A 24,284-nucleotide genomic window follows, 5' to 3' on the forward strand; every position below is an offset into this window, starting at 1 on the left:
ACTATAGCCTCAGAAGACACATAGTGTTACTTCTATCACAATTATAGGTTCACTAAGATTCCAAAGGGGGAAAAGTATGCTAATATGTCCAATAGGGAAATTATCAACATCACACTATTAGAGGAACTAATAAGATGGAAGATCTTGTGACTATCTTGGAGTATCCAGTTGGCAACTCTCTACGCTTGTTTAAATCAATCTACATTTTTACTGTATGCAACATATACTAATTTTCATCTGCAACATCTACAAGTATTTCCCATGATGGTGGTAAGTTAAAGTTCAAGATCTCCTCATCTAGATCAGACTCTGTGCAGTTGAGCCTCTTTGCCCATAGTTCCTAAATAGCACCTGTCCCCCTATCCCACTCAAGACTTGTGAACAATGATGAGACAGGACTAGGATGCACATACTTGACAGACAATGCTGTAGATACTCCCTTTCAGGAAGAAGGCACTCAGCAGTCAAAATTCCACAGAGCATAAAGCCACAGCTTCCTTTCAGGGCTTCCTGCTTCAAATGTCTGTGTTTTTTAAATTTTTTTTCCCTCAAACTGTACTTTTCTTTTTTATTTTTTTGCCTTGGAAATAATGTAATTATTATTTAAAACTCAGTGAAATCATGAGGATACAGTCAGGCAAACCCTAAATGTGGGAAATCCTATAGGATAAATTATTTCTTTCTTTTTTGTTTTTTAAGTGTGTAATTCTTTTTTTTATTATACTTTAAGATTTGGGGTACATGTGCACAACGTGCAGGTTTGTTACATATGTATACATGTGCCATGTTGGTGTGCTGCACTCATTAACTTGCCGTTTAGCATTAGGTATATCTCCTAATGCTATCCCTCCCCCCTCCTCCCACCCCACAACAGGCCCCGGTGTGTGATGTTCCCCTTCTTGTGTCCATGTGTTCTCATTGTTCAATTCCCACCTATGAGTGAGAACATGCAGTGTTTGGTTTTTTGTCCTTGTGATAGTTTGCTGAGAATGATAGTTTCCAGCTTCATCCATGTCCCTACAAAGGACATGAACTCATCCTTTTTTATGGCTGCACAGTATTCCATGGTGTATATGTGCCACATTTTCTTAATCCAGTCTATCATTGTTGGACATTTGGGTTGGTTCCAAGTCTTTGCTATTGTGAATAGTGCCACAATAAACATACGTGTGTATGCGTCTTTATAGCAGCATGATTTATATTCCTTTGGGTATATACCCAGTAATGGGATGGCAGGGTCAAATGGTATTTCTAGTTCTAGATCCCTGAGGAATCACCACACTGATTTCCACAATTGTTGAATTAGTTTACAGTCCCACCAACAGTGTAAAAGTGTTTCTATTTCTCCACATCCTCTCCAGCACCTGTTGTCTCCTGACTTTTTAATGATTGTCATTCTAACTGGTGTGAGATGCTGTCTCATTGTGGTTTTGATTTGCATTTCTCTGATGGCCAGTGATGATGAGCATTTTTTCATGTGTCTGTTGGCTGCATAAATGTCTTCTTTTGAGGTGTGTCTGTTCATATCCTTTGCCCACTTTTTGATGGGGTTGTTTGTTTTTTTCTTTTAAATTTGTTTGAGTTCATTGTAGATTCTGGATATTAGCCCTTTGTCAGATGAGTAGGTTGCAAAAATTTTCTCCCATTCTGTATGTTGCCTGTTCACTCTGATGGTAGTTTCTTTTGCTGTGCAGAAGCTCCTTAGTTTAATTAGATCCCATTTCTCAATTTTGGCTTTTGTTGCCATTGCTTTTGGTGTTTTAGACATGAAGTCCTTGCCCATGCCTATGTCCTGAATGGTATTGCCTAGGTTTTCTTCTAGGGTTTTCATGGTTTTAGGTCTAACATTTAAGTCTTTAATCCATCTTGAATTAATTTTTGTATAAGGTGTAAGAAAGGGATCCAGTTTCAGCTTTCTACATATGGCTAGCCAGTTTTCCCAGCACCATTTATTAAATAGGGAATCCTTTCCCCATTTGTTTTTGTCAGGTTTGTCAAAGATCTGATGGTTGTAGATATGTGGCACTATTTCTGAGGTCTCTGTTCTGTTCCATTGGTTTGTATCTCTGTTTTGGTACCAGTACCATGCTGTTTTGGTTATTGTAGCCTTGTAGTATAGTTTGAAGTCAGGTAGTGTGATGCCTCCAGCGTTGTTCTTTTGGCTTAGGATTGACTTGGCAATGCGGGCTCTTTTTTGGTTCCATATGAACTTTAAAGTAGTTTTTTCTAATTCTGTGAAGAAAGTCAATGGTAGCTTGATGGGGATGACATTGAATCTATAAATTACCTTGGGCAGTATGGCCATTTTCACAATATTGATTCTTCCTACCCATGAGCATGGAATGTTCTTCCATTTGTTTGTATCCTCTTTTATTTCATTGAGCAGTGGTTTGTAGTTCTCCTTGAAGAGGTCCTTCACATCTCTTGTAAGCTGGATTCCTAGGTATTTTATTCTCTTTGTAGCAATTGTGAATGGGAGTTCACTCAAACTGTACTTTTTATCCCTTCAAGCAACTTCATCAAATCAAACAACAAATAATGAGTTTTTAGCAGTGTCTTCTATGTTGATCAAAACTCTCATTATCCTTTGAGGCAGTTTAATGTAAACTTTCTTCATTAATTCTTTGTGTTTTCACTTTATTATGAATTTTTTTTCTTGAATTTACACTGTAAGGCATGGATTTTTTATTTTCAGTTATAGTCGGTATGGCTTTTGTATAAAATTCTCCACATTCTTCTTTTACTTTGCTTCCCTCAACTCTAAATCCCCAAATTCTGTTAGTATGGTAACTGACCTCATAATCTTGATCCATTTTGTATGGAACATTCCCAGGTTAGGTTCATACCAAGAAAATGACTCTGTATTCAAGCCACTTGAATTAATAGCTGTATCAGTGATTATTATTTATGATGACCATGGTCTTATAAGGTTCATATAACATGCTTGTGGTCACTTGCATTAGTCATCATCAGAACAAGACCAGCTGCAGCTGAGGACTGAGGAAATGTTGTGGTGATTTGGAGTATTATTAAGCGAGGGGTTCCACATAGTCCCTCTACAGACTGAAGACACTGGGGAAGGAGCATCCGTGTGTGTGTGACAGCTGTGAAATAATCTGTTCTGGAACAAGAAGCTCCAAAATATCACAGCCTGGGATGACTTTGTGTGCTTTCCATAGAGCATTTGGCTACATATCAAAGCCGTTATTAGTGGGCTGTTCCCTGGCTCAGGGCAGGTGTCTGCCTCAGCCATGTACATAATGGACATAAGGAGCTCAACTCTTCTGTCTCCTGCTGCCTGATCCCAGATGAGGAAAAGGATTATGAGGAGGTGCCACATGATGGTGAAATTTGCTTTCTTCTCATTGTAAGTTGAATCTTTAGTACCTTTTTTGGTCTGTGACATTTGATTTCTCATGGAGCACTCACAGTGTTGAGTAACATGATAAGCTCATAGAGTGGGATGTGTTTAACCTCACTGACATTTGTGCTTATGTGATTTTTTCAAAAAAATTCAGATGTCAATGAGAATATTGTGCCGCCTCAGTTTTATTTATTTTTATTTTTTTAACTTTTGTTTTAGGTTCAGGGATATATGTGAAGTTTTGTTACATAACTGAACTTGTGCCATGGGGGTTCCTTGTACAGATTACTTTGTCACCCAGGTATTATTCCCAGTGCCCAATAGTTATCTTTTCTGCTCCTTTCCTTTCTTCCACCCTCCACCCTCAGGTAGACCCCAGTGTGTATTGTTCCCTTATTTGTGTTCATGAGTTCTCAATTTTCAAGTTCTGGACAAAGGTTGAGGGAAGCAAGCCACTATCCAGAACCCTAGTGTCTCTGCATGGTTGAGTGACCACGAGTCTGAGGTAGATTTTGCTCCCACAATCAGCAGCCTGAAGCCTGAAGATGCAGGGTACTGTTACTGTCAACAACATCAAATCTTGCCTCTCTCATGTGACGAAACTGAGCAAAGGCAGTGCAATGATCCAGCAGTGTTATCTTGTTCAAGTTACTCATACATAATTGATGAAATCAGGTAGAAAGCTCAGTGAAAGAGATTTTGAAATATTAGTTTCTGTGATAACAGAACACACAGATTGTAATCACATATCATTGGTTGGAATTTTGTCTCTTACACTTAATATATGTGTAAATTTGGCAAATGACTTAAACACTTTTACCTTGTTTTTTTATCTCTAATAAAGGAAAATAAAGAAGTAACTATACCATAAGACTATTATAATAATTAAGTAATTGAATACTTATAAAATGTTTATAACTTTCAAATGTATTAAACACTAAATAATTACTAATAATCATTATAATTTTGCTACATCTCTTAATTATGTAGATCCAGTGTTTCCCCAAATACTGTTTTCTTTGACGTTATTTACAAAATTATGATTTTTCCCCTAAAACTCCCACTATGTTAAATAGCAGATAAATTTATTTCATGCCAAGCTGCTAAAAACAGATATAAAAAGCTGGACAAAATATAAAAAGCTGATACTCTAAGGTACCATGTACCTTCGAATAAGTGCTATGTAATAAGCATCTGACTCCATTTTTGATGTTTGATCAGTGACAGCTTTCAATCACCACCTCCCACTTTCCCTTCCACCACATATTTGTGCAACTGCCTGCAGGACAGTCAAACCTCATAGATCCTCAGCAATGCAAGATAGCATATCTCCAGTCCAACTATAAAAACTCAGCCCTCTGTGTAACTCGAGCCAGCTTATACCAGCTTGTGCATATCCTGCTTTCCCCCAGATTCCCTTGTGTGAGTTAGAAAATTTCTCCCAAATTCTCTTGTACATGGAGTGTCAACAGCTTCACCATAATATCTACTAATTAGAAAAGATCCATCTCACCTCCGTGGGTGACCACAAAATATGCCAAGAGAGCAAGTATTTGATGAATCAAGAAAATAAGGTAAGCTTTTATGAACTGAATATTTGTGTCCCCTCAAAATTCACCAGTTGAAGCCCTAACTCCATGTGCGAGTATATTTGGAGGTAGCTCTAAGAAACTAACAGTCAAATGAGGCCATAAGGTTGAGATTCTGATCTGATTCAATTAGTGTCTTTATTAAAAAAAAAAAAAAAAAGGAGAGATTGGGCTCGGTGGCTCATTTCTGCAATCCCAGTACTTTGGGAGGTGGAGGCAGGTGGATCACGAGGTCAAGAGATTGAGACCATCCTGGCCAACATGGTGAAACCCCGTCTCTACTAAAAATAGAAAAATTAGCTGGGTATGGTGGCACACGCCTGTAGTTCCAGCTACTCAGGAGGCTGAGGCAGGAGAATCACTTGAACCCAGGAGGCAGAGGTTGCAGTGAGCCAAGATTGCACCACTGCACTCCAGCCTGGTGACAGAGCGAAACTCCATCTCAAAAAAAGAAAAAAAAAAAAGAGACCAAATCTATTAGGCCATTCTTGCAGTGCTACAAAGAAATACTGAGACTGGTGATTTATAAAGAAAAGAGTTTTACTCAGCTCACATTTCTGCAGGCTTTGTAGGAAGCATGATGCTGGCATCTGCTCAGCTTCTGGGAAGGCCTCAGGAAGCTTACAGTTATGATGGAAGGCTAAGGGGTAGTAGGCCCATCACAAGGCCAGAGAAAGAGCAGAAGAGAGAGAAGGAGTTGCCATATGCTTTTAAATAAGCAGATCTCATGAGAACTCGCTATCATGAGAACAGCACCAAGAAGATGGTGCTAAACTGTTCATGAGAAATCTATCTCCATGATCCAGTCACCTCCCATCAGGCCTGACTTGCAATACTGGGGATTACAATTCCACATGATATTTGAGCAGTAACAAATATGCAAACAACATCCTTTTACCCCTGGGCTCTCTCAAATCTCATGTCCTTTTCACATTTCAAAATACAATAATTCCTTTTCCATATCTGCCCAAAGTCTTACCTTATTGTAATTTTAACACAAAAGTCCCAAGTCCAAGTTTAAAGCCACATCTGATACTCATATTCTTCCACTGATAAGTCTCTGAAATCAAAACAAGTTATCTACTTTCACAACAATCAAAAGACAAAATCCCATTGATTAGTCACAGCAGGAATTAAAAACTTAGAAAAATATCTATTTTGAGAAATAAGTACCATGTTGATATAGCCACATATTCTTCAACTTAGTCCCTAGGATTTCAGATTCTTGGAAATCATGTCTCAACTGTGTGCATCCTAGTATGGCACCAATAGCATCTCAACCTCCCACTTTAGAAGTAGCTCAATCAATTCTAAACTTTTTCATTTAGTTTCTGAAATATTCTAAGTGATGCGTAGGACTATATATTTGTCCAAATTACTCAGGAACATCCATCCACTGGTGGGTACCACTATGTTTTAATAGACACCAGTCCTCTCTTCCTTCCTTCACGTCATCAACATTCCAGTGTTGAATGGCCATGATGGAAATATTTGACATTTAAGAGTGAGCATAATTTATTTAATCAGTATTCTCTATTGGAGAGCAGGCTTTAAGTAGAACTGAATTCTGAAAAAAATAAATAAGTAAAAAGAGAATCAGATAGTGTCTGAGTTCTTTCATGCAACTATAACAAACTCACAGACTGGGAAATTTATAAACAATAAATATTTATTTCTCACAGTTCTGGAGTTCAGAACTCTAGGATCAAGATGCTAACAGATTCAGTGTCGGTGAAGCTGTCTGGTGGAGCCAGAAAAGGCAAAGGAGACAAATTGAATCTTGCATCTGCACATGGCAACAGAGATGGAAGGGCCAGGCAGCTCTCTGAAATCTTCTATATAAGGCCATTAATCCCATTTATTAAGGGCAGAGCCCATGACTTAATCACTTCCCAAGGGGTTCTACCTTTTAATATCAACTTAGGCTTTAAATTCCAACATTAAGTTTGGAACATCACAAACATCTAAACCATAGCAGATGGGACTAGACAATTCCTAACAAAGTCAGCACATAACCATATAGGAGGAGTGACAAAAGCAGCTGCCTTGGTTACCTTTGACCAAGACTTTCTTACAAAAAGGGTTCCTTAGCAATATTCATTTATCAACACCAGTGATGACATGTTGATACTGTGTAACTCTTGATAGGATGTACTGAAGACACATCCCTGCTGTAATATTCTTGCCAAAAATGAAAAATCTGACTTTAATCAATAGAAAATACCAAACAATAGAACTTAAGGGACATTCTGAAAAATAACCAGCCAGCATAAATCAAAAGTTTCAAGGTATTTCAAAACAAAGACTAAAAAGCTGTCAGAGATTGAAGGAAATTAAGAAAGCATGAAAACTGAATGCAATATGGGATCCAGAAATTTTATCCTAAAACATTAAAAGTAAAAATGGTAAATACATGTATCAGTGGAAAGCTCAGTGAAATTCAAATGTAGATTGTAACTTCGTTAATAATAGTGGATTAACCATTAATGTTAAAGCTATTTGAAGTACTAGAAAAATCAGTTTAAAATGATTTTATATTCAGCAAAACTATCCTTAAAGAAAAGAAAAGAAGCCGTGACTAGCATATATGTCCTATAAGAAACTCAGGAAGAAATCCTTCAGAATTCAGAATCACAGTAAATGACAATGAACAGTAATTTAAATCCATGAAATTAAATGAAAGCTTCATAAATATACTTACCTCAACTCATATGTTGTTGATGTTCACGAAAACTGAATCTTTGTGATAGATATCAGAGTTGCAGTTCCCTTGGTAGGTTAGAGGCAGAAGCTATTGACTAGAAAGGTGAATGAAGGCAGCATGTGGAGAATTTCAAATCATTCATATTTGTATCTGGGTAGTGAATGTGAGTACTTTATTTGGTTGAGCAGTGAACATGTTTGCACTTTACTCAGGGCACAATTTATTTTGATTTATAAAATTAACAGCAAACCAAGACCCTTTCAACACACATGAAGAAAAAAATAAGAAGCACCAAATATTTACAGAAACTCAGCCGTATTAAAGAGAAGTGTAACAAGCACTGGGAAAATACTAGGAAGTAAAAAAATTGACAGTAAACACAGTAAACATAGAAATATATCCTGTCCCAATCAGGCTGCATAGATTGTTATTTCTGCCAGTTTTTTCTCAAGCATACAAAATATGTTGTTCATAGGAAAGGCCCCCATACCCCTGCACATATCATGTTATTTCTATACCACTGCACCCACCAGGGGATTTGCATATTGTCCCCCAGGGAGGACCTTCCCTTGCAAGTCTGAGATAAAAGCTCAGCACCAACCTTGACTTGACTAATTAGGACTCCTCAGGTCACCTTCTCACAATGAGGCTCCTTGCTCAGCTTCTGGGGCTGCTAATGCTCTGGGTCCCTGGTGAGGACAGAAGAGAGATGAGGGAGGAGAATGGGGTGGGAGGGTGAACTCTGGGGGCCCCATTGCCTCCCATGTGTGTTCTGTCCTCATGTTAGATGTGTACGTCTTGTACTCCAGGATGGGGCTTGTAACTTTTATATCTGCGTGAGTAAGGCATGTGAGGTTTAGATCTGTAAGAATGAGGAAGATTCCAGAAGGAACAAAGACCAGTGCTCCGGTGAAGACTCTAACAGAGAAAGAGGGAATGGTAGAGGAAACTTCTAGCACTCAAAGCACTCTGCTGTGCTTTGAAAATATGTTTTTATTTTGAAATTATATATTACTAGGGTCTGAATCAAATTATAAAAATTGATTTAGCCTGAAATAAATAACAGAAGAAAAATTATTTTAAAATTGTGCTTAAAGTTTCTACATAACCTTGCACTTCTCTCTCATTATTTCAGGATCCAGTGGGGATATTGTGATGACCCAGACTCCACTCTCCTCGCCTGTCACCCTTGGACAGCCGGCCTCCATCTCCTTCAGGTCTAGTCAAAGCCTCGTACACAGTGATGGAAACACCTACTTGAGTTGGCTTCAGCAGAGGCCAGGCCAGCCTCCAAGACTCCTAATTTATAAGGTTTCTAACCGGTTCTCTGGGGTCCCAGACAGATTCAGTGGCAGTGGGGCAGGGACAGATTTCACACTGAAAATCAGCAGGGTGGAAGCTGAGGATGTCGGGGTTTATTACTGCACGCAAGCTACACAATTTCCTCACACAGTGGTACAGCCCTGAACAAAAACCTCCCGCTGGAGTGGCCCAGCTGCTCAAGTGTGTTGTTTCTCTGGGGAGCAGTTGAACAGAATCTCTATCTGTATGAGATAAACATGTTGGAGAACTCAGGGCAACAGGTTGCATCTGAGGGTTCTGTCCCATGGGTGCCTCAGTTGTACGTCAGGCAAAACCTGTTCACAGCCCTGTCAGCTGCAACAGCCTTGGCATGGCATAAGCCATAGGAAACCAGAGGTGATCCCAGTGCCTGCACAGGTAATAGACTGCCCTGAGGGAGAGCTTAAGAAAATCCTATTCCAATCTTCCCTGCCTTGCCTGCATTGGGAAATAAGACTTAAAGAGGTAAATAACCAGACAAGTAACCCAGATTTGTTGCAACACTTGAATATATCTTGAGGTTTAGCAATTTAAAGTCTATATTTAGGAGGATAATATGTGGTAATATCCCAAAATTGAACTTTTCAACTTTCCTAACTTCTTATTTTTCTCTTTCACCACCTATCTTCCCACCACATATTGATGGTGGAAAGAGCCTTCCGCACAAGCTGTCATCATGAGGAGCTGGATGAGGGCAATTAGTGAAAATCTTGGATTTCAGCCTCAGAATGGACTTTTGTAAATTGGTGAGAGATAGAAAATATGAATGCTAAAATTATTTTATTCGCTTCAATTGTGTCTTGCTGACAGAAAAGGATAGTTTTTGAAATTTCAGAAGTTGAGTTTCATAAACAGAAACTTAAACTAGAAGACATAGGTTATAGAATTTACCTCATAGAACACTGAAATAACACAGAATGATGTGCGATTTCTTTCCCCAAAATGTAAGAGTTTGAAGACAGTGGGCCGACTTCAAGAATGGGAGAATTAATGGAAGATAGTGGAGGTCAACTATGGCCCAATAACCTGCTCTTTGACTTACATTAGGTACAGTTGTGGATGACAGTGACTGTTGGGGGTTGGTGATATAAACTCAGAAAGGAGCCCAAATGTCTTTCTTATGAAGAATCACAGAGGAGAAAGTATCACTCCCTGGCTCCATGGGTTGAGCCTGCACCACTGCAAGTTTCAAGGAAAAGTAGTTCATCAAGAATGATCTTTTAGTTCTGCAATCATCAAATGTTTATTGAAGTTCCTGTGCAAATAGACCTGAGGTTCTGTGACTTAGTCACAGTCAAACTAAAACAACCCAGCAGATGCCATGTGGTTGGGTTTGAGAACACAAATCATGCAGTGGCATGCTAACCTGAAGTCCCAATAGAGTCTACATCAATTGGGGAGCAGTGGCAATGATGACCAATATATCCATGATTCAGACATGTATTATGAATGGTCTGCGCAGAATTTATCAACAACAAAAACTCCATGAATCCTCTGTATGGGGAGTTTCTGTCTTTCTAGACCAGCACCCAAAGACTGCACATGTCATCAAACCACAGCCAATGTTCCATGGAGAACACTATCTGTGAGTTGAGGCTGCATTGTGCAACCAAAGAGGCACAGCCAGATTCTCCTTTCACAGATGAGTTTCTCTGCCTGTGCCAAAGCAGAACTTGGGTCCAAATGCCAACCTGGCAAATATGGCAGGAGAACAAAAAGTCAGGTAAGCATCAGCTCAATTAGAGAGGATTTCCTCACCCTGGAATTTTAGATTACCTAGGCCTTATTCTGTCCACTGTTCTCTGATGTTATAATTTCATAAATTTTGTATTTTTTGTACCTTTTGCAGCAGTTGCTTTAGGGCTTTTAACCACAATGTTATTGTACCTGGGAGTGGAGATAACTTTTTCAACTAAATAATGTTTTAGAAATGACAATTTTGGTATTCAATTGTCATGAAAAGAATAAATGGTTTTCAATATATAAGTACATGCATCGTTTTCACACAATGTAGTCATTACATGAAAATGAACCTCATTCCTACCTTCTAGTAGTAATTGTATAGAAAATATATAGCTTGCATAGATGACACTTAAAATAATGCCCTAAAAGTATTTCTAAACTAATCATGACATGATATGATCAAAGTAAAGGGGCATTTGAATCAGCAGGACAACATACTCTTTTCCTTGTTAAGGAAGTAAACCATATTAGAAATGACTGTATATTCCAAGATAATGCATTCTGTGGTGAGGGAAGTTAAAATCCAATTTTTGAGGAGAGAAATCCAGAAAAAAATGGATTATGGCAAGACGTTTGTAACATAGGCAAAGAATGACAATCCTTCAAAGTATTTTTCTGCACATATTCAAAAGTGGAGACACACATGCAGTCAAAATTTTAATGATTACATACTCACAATCACTTCTGTGGGGCCTGGAGATACTGCACATACGACTGTTAGCAAGACACTCACTGGGACGCTGCGTTGTGTGATGGCCCCACATACAAACCTCAAGGAGGCTCAGCCTCTCAATGCAGCAGGAGCAGCTGGGGTACCCAGGCCACACGTCCATACCAGGTGGGCTCAGTTAGAGATGGCTGGAGAGCCTTCCAGGAAGAGGCCATGAGGTTTCAGTCACAAACACTGGCTCCTCTTCTGTGTAAACAGGGGCTAGAGCCCTCCAGGACAATTCCTAGAGCCTCTCCCTTTCTCTCCAATTAGTGCGCTGACACCCTACAGACTCTCCAGGAAGTGGTTGTCATGTCCTCCCTGCAACAGCCACTAAAGTTCCCTACTGCTGTCATGAATGCAGGGACACTTAGTCACATCACTGGGAGGCGACCCTAGTGTATCCTGACCTCACCTGCTGCCACTGATGACTTTCAGGGCACCTCTTTCTCCCTTTGCTGAGTGACTCTCACTCTCACCAACCATCAGGAGAATGGAAAGCTGCCTGCAATGCATGATGTTGGCTGTTGAGCAAATCAAAGCTCACAGGAGTCTCAAACATGTACACCACATAATAATATTTTCTGATAATACTATTTGGACTTTTCTTCCTTTCAATTCTGGAAGTAATTGAGAATATTTTTTGAACTCTTAGAAACACTTAGTATATATGTGTAGTAGGTAGTAACTAGTTTTGTCTACTGGTTTATTTTGTTTGCTTGTTTCAGGCCATGATGCGGCATGTTAAAATACTGAAGACAAAGATACATTTTAGAATTAAGCATACTGTACATTGGCTCTTTCCACACCACTGCAACCACCAGGGGATGTGCATATTGTCCCTTAGGAATGACCTTCCCTTGTGAGTCTGGGAGTAAAGCTCAGCTGTAACCTTGCCTTAACTGATCAGGACTCCTCAGTTCACCTTCTCACAGTGAGGTTCCCTGCTCAGCTCCTGGGGCTGCTAATGCTTTGGGTTCCTGGTAAGGACAGAGGAGATGAGGGAGGAGAATGGGGTGGGAGGGTGAGCTCTGGGGGCCCCACTGTCACCCATGTGTGTTCCGTCCACATGTTAGATGCACGTGTCTTGTGCTCCAGGATAAAATGTATGGTGGCACTTTTATATGTGAAAGAGTGAGGAAGATTCCAGAAAAAGCAAAGACCTGTGCTCTGGTGCAGATTCTGACATAGAAAGAGGAGGGTAGCATAAGTGACTTCCATAGGGCAACTTGGGCCTTCAAAATGTCTGTTTTTTTTTTTAATTGAATTTTTTTGGTGCATGAATCAAAATTACACACACACTCACACACACACACACACACACACACGCCGCAATACAATTATTTAGCATTAAATAATTGTAGAGAAATTATGATAATGTCTCATGATTTACATAACATTGTACTTCTTTTTTATATTACTTTAGGATCCTGTGGGAATATTGTGATGACCCAGACTCCACTCTCTCTGCCCGTCACCAATGGAGAGCCGGCCTCCATCTCCTGCAGGTCTAGTCAGAACCTTTTACATGGTAATGGATACACCTATTTGTATTAGTTCCTGCAGAAGCCAGGCCACTCTCCACAGCTCCTGATCTGTAGGACTTCCAATCAGTTTTCTGCCTTCCCACACAGGTTCTCCCCAATGGGAGGAGAGAGTAGACCAGTCATCCCCAGATATATCACAGGACTAGTTTCAACCTTTGGAAGCTGGTCTATATCCTATGGTTAAATAGGCATTTGTGATACGACCTGAAATACATTTGGACAAGAACTTCACTAACAATTGAGTCACTGAAGACTTATGGCCCTGTGTGACGCACCACATAACCGTGAGTTTGCAGTGGTTGCAGGTCAGGGACAGATTTTATGCTTAAGATCAGTAGGGTGGAGGCTGAGGATCTTGGCTATTACAACTGCCACCACACTCTACAATATCCTCCCACAATGGTTCAGCACCAAACAAAAGCCTCCTGCTTGGATTGTCCCAGCTGCCCAAATTAGTTCCTTCACTGAGGAGTAGACAGGGTATATTCTCTAAATCTATGTAACAGGAAGATGTTGGTGAACTCAGGGGATTAGTATGAAGCTACACCTCAGGCATCACACATAAGATCACTTCAGCAGTCGCAGCCTTAGCATGGGCAGAACCTACAGAAGATGCAAGTGCCCTCTGAGCCAGGAGACAGGAGGAAGGAGGAAGGGAAAGGTGACTTAGCTCATCTCAATCCTCTCTCCTTTGCATACATTTGTCAACCAGATGTATTCAGCCTACCAGTCACACAACTGAGGCTGATACATGACAACATAGCACTGGTATATTCTTGGTATTGTTTGGCTTAGCAGTTACTAGTATATATTTAATGGGAGAATATTTGGTGGTGTTAACACATTGCTTATCTCCCTTACCCCAGTTGTACTTTACACTTGTTCTCGGCACACATTCTCCTCCAGGACTGGAGCATTCACAGGGTTTTATGTTACTGTTCTTATGGGAGTAAAAAGAAAAACGATTCACATTCTTGCTACTGAGCTAGGCTGGGATGTCCTGGGCCAAGCTGAAAATGTGAAAAATAAGAGTATGAATATTTATTAAGTTTTATCTGGATCTAAGATACTTATCCATGAACCAGTCCTGCAGCTGTGCCCAGCCTGCTCCATTCCCTGCTGATTTGCATGTTCCCAGAGCACAACCCCCTGTTCTGAAGACTTCTTAATAGGCTGGTCACACCCTGTGCAGGAGTCAGTCTCAGTCAGGACACAGCATGGACATGAGGGTCCCCACTCAGCTCCAGGGGCTCCTGCTGCTCCGGCTCCCAGGTAAGGATGGAGAACACTAGGAATTTACTCAGCCAATGTGCTCAGTACAGCCTGGCCTTTCAGGGAAATCATCTTACAAATAGTTGTGTGGATTATTTGTTTTTATGTCCCAGGAGTCAGATGTGATTTCCAGATGACTCAGTCTCCATCCTCCCTGACTGCATCTGTAGGAGAGAGAGTCACCATCACTTGCTGGGCGAGTCAGGGCATTTGCAATTATTTAAGCTAGTATCAGTAGAAACTAGAGAATCCTCCTAAGCTCCTGATCTATGCTGCATCCAGTTTGCAATCTGGGGTCCCGTCACGGTTCAGTGGCAGTAGGTCTGGGACACATTTCACACATTCTCACCATCAGGAGCCTGCAACCTGAAGATGTTATAACTTATTACTGTCTATAGACTTACAGCAGCCATCCTAGAGTGTTACAGGTCATAAAATAAACCCCCAGGGAAGCAGAAGTATGACTCATGGCTGCCCCAGGTGCTTCCACTGGTGCCTCCATCTGCTGAGAGTGTTTCTCAGGTGCAGCCAAGATTTAAAGGTTTTTGTAGGAATGGTCAGAAGTCTCATCTGCATTCTAATTCTTTTTCTTCCTGCTTAGCCCCAGCAGCACAGACATGACACTATCTCTCCTGATTTAATAAAGGATAGCATTTACGATACCTGAAGAATCTGTGTTATTGCATCCATCTGGGTCATAGATTAAAAGAGAAACCACTCTACAGATTGCCAGAAGGCATTGTTTTAATACAGGGAATTAGAGTTGAATATACAAAACTGGGAGTGTGGTAGTTAGGGAAGCTGACACTAGAAACACGGGAGTCTCTGGAGGTCTGCCAGAAGCCAGAGTTCATCAGCCGCTAAAGGCATGGGCTATCTAACCATATAGTCTTCTTTGTCTAGGAAGTCCGTATGCGAAGATGCTGATGCTATCAGTTGTTGCAGCACCTCACCAGGTGATTCTCCAGTCCTTATCTCAGTGAACATGTTTGCCTACCGGTGTCAAAGAATATTGAATCGCCTTCTTCTTACCTTCAAATATGATGAGAGGTCTTCTCTTTGAGTAACTCTACAAGAAACCATAGAGGGTTTAATGGGTTTCAGGAAAGGTGCTTTTAGAAATCATGGTGAATATGAGGAATTACAGCCAAGTGGGATAAGTATTTCCCAAAATCTCAGAATTTTCCAGGTATGGGGTGGCTTCAGAATACATTTGGATGTTCTTACATGTATTATTAGAAAGTTTGGTATTATTGCAAGAAAATTTTATTAAGTCGTAAAGTAAAAGAAAAAAATGACAACATTGCTTGAAATACATAGCAATCCTTTGACAAATGAAAAAAAAATTGACAAAACAAACAAGAACACCTATAGGTGCATGTAGCATACTTTTTCCTTAATATAAGAGCACTTTGCTACTTAAAATTTGTCCAGATTCCAGTGGCATTCTCAGCGTCACTATGAACACAGTACAAATGCAAAGTAGCAGATGTGCTTTAGACCTTGTTGCATGATAACCTGCACTTCAACTAGTTAAGAGGTAACGTACGGGTGTTTCAAGAAGCCAAGTTTTAGAAGACATTTACTTTAGCTAAAGATTTTTTTTTCCCCCACAGTGAGACCATTTATGTTAAAACCACTTAAAAATATATGCTGCTTTATTTCTAATTAATGCAAAATTACATTCAAAAATATTTTTAATATTCTAAAAGTTGAAAAACAATTATTTTTTATCAATGGATCAAATACTTTGATAGTTAAATGCAGTAAACGTTTTTAGAAACTTTAGGACTTAACAAAGTAAAAGAATAAATTAAATTGTGTTCACTGTTTTAGAGAACATTAGGATACCATTTGCCTGGTCAGTTTTGTTTGAAAATTGTGTTCCTTTTTGCTGCCTTCCATACAAATGTTGTGTCTTGGCTAGGCCCTTCCTTGATCCCAAATGAAACACAATCTAAAGGCAGAAGAACCACTCCACTAAGCTCTTCCTTGATCAGCCACATCATTGTTATCATAAACATCTATTAACAAGAAAATATCTGCTTAGTTTTATTATCCGCTGAGTTTTGAGCAGTGGATAAGTGCATGTTTCCGTAAGTGCACTTTTTCCATAAGTGAGGTGAATTTCACTTAATTCATATCATTTAGCTTTAATTTCCTCTAAGTGTCTTTATAAATGGATGACTAAATATTTATATTTATGCTATCAGATTTGATAACATGCATCTATCTATATGACTGGATGTGTGAATATTATATTGGTCAGCTTTCACCCAGGTGGTCATGTCAGAAAAGGCTGTTAGTTTAGCCTGAGTGTAGAATTTCTATCTTAGATCACATATATCATGTGTCTTCCTGTCTTATATCCCTGTGTCTTCCTGTCTCACCAATTATCTAGATTCAGTGAATGGTGTGTGGTACAAGACTTGTAGGAACTAAATTAAGTTGTGTGGTCCCATTTCTTTTGTTTCTACCCTAAATATGCCTAGTTGTTTTCCCTGGTGCATGACAGAATATGGTTGGAATGAAGAGTTATTGGAACTTTATCTCCCAAGTACACCTTTCACTTGCTGCTTAGGGATCTTTTCTGAGGGCCCTGAAGCTTCCTCAAAGAGCAACACTCAAGTACCCACAGTGCTGCAGGTGCAGGGGTGACCACAACTGCACAGATGAGAAGCACCCAGGTTCTGACCCTTCAGGTTACCAATGCCATTTCCCTGAAGACAGACAATCATGCTGTCCATGCAGGTAACAGACAATGATGCTGTCCATATAGGCAGGGGACAACTCCTTGGGTGATCCTCTAATCTACACACCGCTTGATTCTGTGCAATGCTTATATCAATCCAGAGTCAGGTTCTCTTCTCCTTAATAGTTCCCAGAACCTCTGCTTACACCCCCTGAATCTCATTTCATATACTGCTGCTCCTTTCCTTTAATCAGTTAAAATCGTTTGCTTTTTCTTCCTTTCTCTTAGGTATCAAGGAAGCAGTTTTACTAATGCTGCTCTAAGTTTCAATTGGATCTTCATTCATTCTGGAAATAGAGTCAACAATATTTATCTAACTGTCAAGACGTTATCTTGGCAAGCCCTGAAATCAAATCCATTGTGTTGGAGACAGAGCTTTAATCCTTATAGATTATGTGCCATTAGTAAATTTGCTTATGTGAAACTTTGGCAATAATAGAATCTACCTAAAAGGTCTCTTTACAATTTATACAAGGTAAAGCATTTACAATAGTATCTAATCATTATATGTGCTGGTATTAATTTTGTTGTTACTATTATGATAACATTTAGCACTGTAATAATCATTATTATCATCACTAGACTAATTTAGAAGAGAGTTAGGAGAAACAATCTTAATTCTAATCCAAGGATGTTTCATCTATAGCCACATTAGTTTCTGAGATGGGATTTTCACTGACTGACTCACAATTCTTAAAATGCTAATGATTTGTTCTTGATCTATACTAACTTGCTCAGACTTTCAATCATGCCCACCCAGATGGGTCCATTGCATTTCTTCTCATCATTCATTATCATAACTTTATCCTATGAAAGGTTAGAATGTCATATTGCTGTCCTTTCTTACATAATCTTTATTCTGTCTTTTTAACCTTTTCTCATTTTTTCTACTACATCTGCCATAACTCAAAAACCAAATCTCAGGTTTTTCCCAGGATTGGCATGCTTCTGTGCTAAAGATGTTGTTCATTCTCTTACTTTCTGGATTTCTACGGGACAAATTATTTCAAACTCAGGCCTTTCTAATACCTCAGAGGTATAGGGCATAAAAGAGAAAGAAAAAGCATATGTATGAGTGTGATTTGACAAATTGAAAAGTCACTTCACCTTTTTGTGAAGTCATCTATTCTTTCTTGCAAGGGTTTTCAAGTTGTGCCTATATTTTTAAACACGTATGACTTCTTCAAACACTTTTCTTCTCTAAATCTTTTCCTCCAAAAGCCCCAGTCAGATTAACTGTATCCAGTAAAGTATGGTTGACCCTTCTCTGATATCCTCTCTATATATACCCAAAAGTTTCCATTCTCTTCTAACATTTTTGTTTCATTACCATCCAAAGACAAAATTCTATTAAATTTTCAGATAATAACTTAAAAATTTGGAGAAGTACATATTTCTAGAAATAACTGTCATGCATATGTAGCCACATGTTCTTTAACTGAGGGACCAGAACCTCTTATTTCCACAAAGAGTGTCTGAACTGTGTGCATACTAAAATGGTACAAATGGTATCTCAGTCTCCTCAGCAGAAGTAGCTCAGGGCAAGCTGTTCCTATCCATTTGATTCTTGCAGTATTCCAAGTGCTAGAAAATTATGTTTTTCCAAACAGTTGATTCAGTAACTGCTGTTCATTTGTTGGTACCACTACATTTTAATAAATCTCATTCCTCTGGGTTTTTTTTCAGGCTATTAACATTTAAATGGTAAATGGCCATCATAGTAACATTTGCCATTTAAAAGCCAACTCATTTATTTGTTCAATATTCTCTATTGTACAGTAAGTGTGAAGAGGGTTAAAGCCTAAGAAACATAAAAAAAAATAGTTTCAGACAGGAATAGGTTATTTCTCAGAAAGTCAGCAAATAACCAAATACAAAGAGTGATAGAAGCAGCTGGCTTAATTAGCTTTGTCCAAGACCTCCTTTCAGAAACCAGAATCTTTGGGACACAGCAAAAGCAGTGTTTAAAGGGAAATTTATAGCACTAAATGCTCACGGGAGAAAGCAGGAAACATCTAAAATCGACACCCTTACATCACAATTAAAATAACTGGAGAAGCAAGAGCAAACAAATTCAAAAGCTAGCAGAAGACAAGAAATAACTAAGATCAGAGCAGAACTGAAGGAGATAGAGACACGAAAAACTCTTCAAAAAAAATCAATGAATCCAGGAGCTGTTTTTTTTGAAAAGAGCAACAAAATAGATAAACCACTAGCCAGACTAATAAAGAAGAAAAGAGAGAAGAATGAAATAAACACATAAAAAATGATAAAGGAGGTATCACCACTGATCCCACAGAAATACAAACTACCATCAGAGAATACTATAAACACCTCTAAACAAATAAACTAGAAAATCTAGAATAAATGGATAAATTCCTCGACACATACACCCTCCCAAGTCTAAACCAGGAAAAATTTGAATCCCTGAGTAGACCAACAACAAAGTCTGAAATTGAGGCAGTAATTAATAGCCTACCAACCAAAAAAAAGTCCAGGGCCAGATGGATTCACAGCCGAATTCTACCGGTAGAAAAAGAAGCTGGTACCATTCCTTCTGAAAATATTCCACACAATAGAAAAAGAAAGAATACTCCCTAACTTGTTTTATGAGGCCAGCATCACCCTGATAACAAAACCTGGCAAAGACACACACAAAAAAGAAAATTTCAGGCCAATATTCATGATAAACATTGATGCAAAAATCCTCTATAAAATACTGGCAAACCGAATCCAGCAGCACATCAAAAAGCTTATCCACCCATGATCAAGTTGGCTTCATCCCTGGGATGCAAGGCTGGCTTAACATATGCAAATCAATAAATGTAATCCATCACACAAACAGAACCAATGACAAAAACCACATGATTATCTCAATAGATGCAGAAAGGGTCTTTGATAAAATTCAATACCTCTTCATGCTAAAAACTCTCAATAATCTAGGTATTGATGGAATGTATCTCAAAATAATAAGAGCTATTCATGACAAACCCACGGCCAAGATCATATTGAATGGGCAAAACTGGACATATTCTTGTCAAATACCGGCACAAGACAAGGATGCCCTCTCTCACCACTCCTATTCAATATAGTATTGGAAGTTCTGGGAAGGGCAATCAGGCAAGAGAAGGAAATAAAGCATATTCAAATAGGAAGAGAGGAAGTCAAATTGTCTCTTTTTGCAGATTACATGATTGTATACTTAGAAAACCCCATGGTCTCAGCCCCAAATCTCCTTAAGCTGATAAGCAACTTCAGCAAAGTCTCAGGATACAAGATCAATGTGCAAAAATCACAAGCATTCCTATATATCAATAATAGACAAACAGAGAGCCAAATCATGCATGAACTCCCATTCACAATTGCTACAAAGAGAATAAAAAACTTAGGAATACAGCTTACAAGGGATGTGAAGGATCTCTTCAAGGAGAACTACAAACCACTGCTCAAGGAAATAAGAGAGGACAGAAACAAATGGAAAAACATTCCATGCTCATGGATAAGAAGAATCAATATCGTGAAAATGGCCATACTGCACAAGGTAATTTATAGATTCAATGCCACCCCCATCAAGCTACCATTGACTTTCTTCACAGAATTAGAAAAAACTACTTTAAATTTCATATGGAACTAAAAAAGAGCCCACATAGCCAAGACAATCTAGACAGAAAGAACAAAGCTGGAGGCATCACGCTACCTGACTTCAAACTATATTACAAGGCTACAGTAACCAAAACAGCATGGTACTGGTACCAAAACAGATATATAGACAAATGGAACAGAACAGAGGCCTCAGACAGATGCTGGAGAGGATGTGGAGAAATAGGAATGCTTTTACACTGTTGGTGGGAGTGTAAATTAGTCCAACCATTGTGGAAGACAGTGTGGCGATTCCTCAAGGATCTAGAACCGGAAATACCATTTGACCCAGCAATCCCATTACTAGGTATATAGCCAAAGGATTATAAATCATTCTACTATAAAGATGCATGCACACATATGTTTATTGCGGCACTGTTTACAATAGCAATGACTTGGAACCAACCCAAATGCCCATCAATGAGAGACTGGATAAAGAAAATGTGGCACATATACACCATGGAATACTATGCAGCCATAAAAAGGATGAGTTTATGTCTTTTGTAGGGACATGGATGAAGCTGGAAGCCATCATTCTCAGCAAACTAACACAAGAACGCAGAACCAAACACCGCGTGTTCTCATTCATAAGTGGGAGTTGATCAGTGAGAACAAATGGACACAGGGAGGAGAATGTTATACCCCAGGGCCTGTTGGGGGGTGGGGGGCTAGGGGAACAGTAGCATTGGGAGAAATACCTAATGTAGATGACAAGTTGATGTGTGTAGCAAACCACCATGGCATGTGTACACCTATGTAACAAACCTGCACGTTCTGCCCATGTATCCCAGAACTTAAAGTATAATAAAACATTTTTTTTAAAAAAAGGGTTTTATTGTTCATATTAATTGATCACCATTAATAGGATATGTTGACATTTTGTAATTCTTGCTGTGCACTGAGGTTGCACCCCATTTTTTTTGTTTTTGTTTTTTTGCTAAAAATAAAAGGTATGAATCTAATCAGTAGAAGACTTCAAACAAATGCAACTTAAGAGATTCTCCAAAATAACTTGCCAGTACACTTCAAAGGTTTCAAAATCATGAAAGACAAAACTAAAAAACTGTCACAATTTGGGAAATATTAAGGACACAATAATTAAATGCAGTGTGGGATTTTGGATTTTTTTTCTGGAACATAAAGAAGGAGATTACTGAAAAAATCAGTGAAATACGAGGGGATTTCAAATTACTTAATTAATAGCATTGCATTTATGTTAATGTTTTGGTATTGATACTTACCCTATAGTTACGCTTGATGTTGACATTACAGAAGAAGCTAGTGGAAGAGTACATGAGAACAATCTTATTATATTATGCAAATTTTAAGTCTAAAAACATTTCAATGTTATTAAAATATATAAATAAAAATAATTAAAACATAACAAAGGACATGGATTCTTATGAAACAATTTCACAAGATTCATCATGTTTTCATATTTGTGTTTCAATCATCTGTTAAAGACAATCCTGGCTCCCATTATGTAGAGAATATTCACTTACTTGGTCAATTCTAGAATATGCATAAGGCATATTTTACAGATTTGTAGTGCATTCCCTGAAAATGTGAAATCTAGTGATTAGAGTTACATATATATTTTTATTTTATTTTATTTTATTTTATTTTATTTTATTTTATTTTATTATTTTATTTTATTTATTTTATTTTACTTTACTTTGACAGAGTCTCACTCTGTTGCCCAGGCTGGAGTGCAGTGGTGCGATCTCGGCTCACTGCAGCCTCCGCCTCCCAGGTTCAGGCGATTTTCCTATCTCAGCCCCCTGAGTAGCTGGGACTACAGGTGTGCGTCACCAAGCCTGGCTAATTTTTTGTATTTTTAGTAGAGATGGGGTTTCACCATGTTGGCCAGGCTGGTCTCAAACTCCTGACCTCAGGTGATCTGCCCACCTCAACCTCCCAAAGTGCTGGCATTACAGTCATGAGCCACCGTCCCCAGCCAAGAGTTAATATTTGTTAAGTGCACGATTTCTCTTCAAACCGTGGGTATTGAGTTCAAATTCTTTACTTCAGAATTACTTATGTTTTAACATATATCTATATCCTTTCAGTGTTGCTGTCATATTCATTAAAATTCATTTTAGAAGGCATCTCTCTTTATTGTGTTACAGAGAGATTGTTAAATCCTCTCAGCAAAAATATATGAGAAAGACAAATTAAGCATAAAGCTAAAAAATATCAAATCGGTTTCAGCGCTCTGAAAATTGGCAAAGTATAAAACATTTAATACTGTATACTATTCATAACATGAAAGAATATGTTTTGAGTAAGGAAGGAAATTATGTCTGTAGCCTTTTGCCTGGGATTTCTCCCTTCCATCTCCGCTCTGTCAGCATGAATTGCAGATCTGGGGTTTTAATGAGGATGTCAGCTTGCAGCTTGCAGTCGAAGGGAGTGGACTTGAGTTGAGGTGGAGAGTCAAGCAAGATCCTTCAGTGTTTCCAGCTAAATGTGATGAATTCTGCAGGAAATGAACAGAGCAAGCTAGTTCAAACTGAGGGCTCTAGCTGGGGCAAGTGGTACACCAGCTGAAAGTTACTAGTGGACTCCTGGAAGTGATGGAATGATAGAATTGCTAAAATAATGTCTGCACAGATTTCTGGTGACTTAAAAGCTGCCGTTATGAATAACAGGGATCAAAGGGGGTGCAGTGAAAAGTAAAACAGAGGGAGATAAGAACTGGCTACATTTTGTATACACTTTTCAGAACACACACAGATGAATAGGTTTATGAGTTTCACACATTTGGGAAAAACCCATTGCTATGATCTTCTTTTCCAGGACCTTAGCCAGCCAGCTATTCAGAAATCTATATGTATACTTGACTCCAGACACTTCTCTATCTACACTAATTTGATGAACATGTGCTCTGCTCAGATGTAAGATAACTCAAGGTAGTATTTGACAGCCATGCATGACCGTTGCCATAGTGTGGACACAGTCCACACTTACTTACACAAACATATGATGCCAAGCCATTCAAGAGGAAGCCCAGCTTGTTCTCATTTTTGCTTTGATTTTCTTTGTTTTTGCTTATTTTCTTTTTTTTCTTTTTCTTTTTTTGTATTATCTCTCTGGCATTAGCTGATCAGGAAAACCCATGATATCATAGAGAGAGCTGATGCAGAGGTGTTAAGTTGAGAGAGAAAAGTGATATAAGGAACTGGAACATCTGTGATGGAAATGAAGCATGCCTTCTGAATCTGCTTGAACCCAGTCACTAAACTACCATCTGCATCCCAATATTGAATGGTGCTGAGCTTCACCTGATCTTAAAATTGGTGAGAGTGACATTCTCAGTTTATGAGGGGCAGCTTAGTCACTTAATTATTTAGTCAAACAGTCAACTACTCATGGACATGCCTACATGGACCCTGTGATATTTTGAGAGCTGCATTTTGAGTAGTGAGTTGTTTGTGTGTTGTTTGTTTGTTTATTTTGGGGGCATTTCAGGATCTTGCTCAAGAACTGTAGAGATTTTTTTCTGTGACTCTTTTTTGGTGCTTGCATGGAGGTTTACAGAGTTTCCTCATCTAATATAGATTATCTAGCACCAGGCAATGTGCTGGATCTCATGGCTGAAGTGACAGAGGCATTTGCATTAAA

The 24,284-nt window shown here is 38.8% G+C and overlaps 2 pseudogenes, 1 gene segment (V, D, J or C) and 1 further gene, besides 6 other annotated features; all 4 read left to right on the top strand.

Annotated features, from left to right (window-relative positions):
* The window catches only part of IGK (immunoglobulin kappa locus), a 1,378,008-nt gene that overhangs the window by 1,139,166 nt on the left and 214,558 nt on the right, over positions 1-24,284 (top strand).
* Positions 8,301-8,349: a sequence feature (IGKV2D-24 leader sequence).
* IGKV2D-24 (immunoglobulin kappa variable 2D-24 (non-functional)) lies at positions 8,301-9,103 on the top strand. The segment is given in 2 exon segments: positions 8,301-8,349; positions 8,793-9,103. Coding segments are annotated over 2 exon segments (360 nt in total), but the record flags the coding sequence as incomplete, so codon positions are not given.
* Positions 8,793-8,803: a sequence feature (IGKV2D-24 leader sequence).
* Positions 12,385-12,433: a sequence feature (IGKV2D-23 leader sequence).
* On the top strand, positions 12,385-13,390 carry IGKV2D-23 (immunoglobulin kappa variable 2D-23 (pseudogene); annotated as a pseudogene). The gene is given in 2 exon segments: positions 12,385-12,433; positions 12,877-13,390. Coding segments are annotated over 2 exon segments (563 nt in total).
* Positions 12,877-12,887: a sequence feature (IGKV2D-23 leader sequence).
* Positions 14,215-14,269: a sequence feature (IGKV1D-22 leader sequence).
* On the top strand, positions 14,215-14,682 carry IGKV1D-22 (immunoglobulin kappa variable 1D-22 (pseudogene); annotated as a pseudogene). Its single transcript is given in 2 exon segments — positions 14,215-14,269; positions 14,383-14,682. Coding segments are annotated over 2 exon segments (355 nt in total).
* Positions 14,383-14,393: a sequence feature (IGKV1D-22 leader sequence).

The sequence above is a fragment of the Homo sapiens genome, chromosome 2, assembly GCF_000001405.40.
Source record: "Homo sapiens chromosome 2, GRCh38.p14 Primary Assembly".
Classification (NCBI taxonomy): domain Eukaryota; kingdom Metazoa; phylum Chordata; class Mammalia; order Primates; family Hominidae; genus Homo; species Homo sapiens.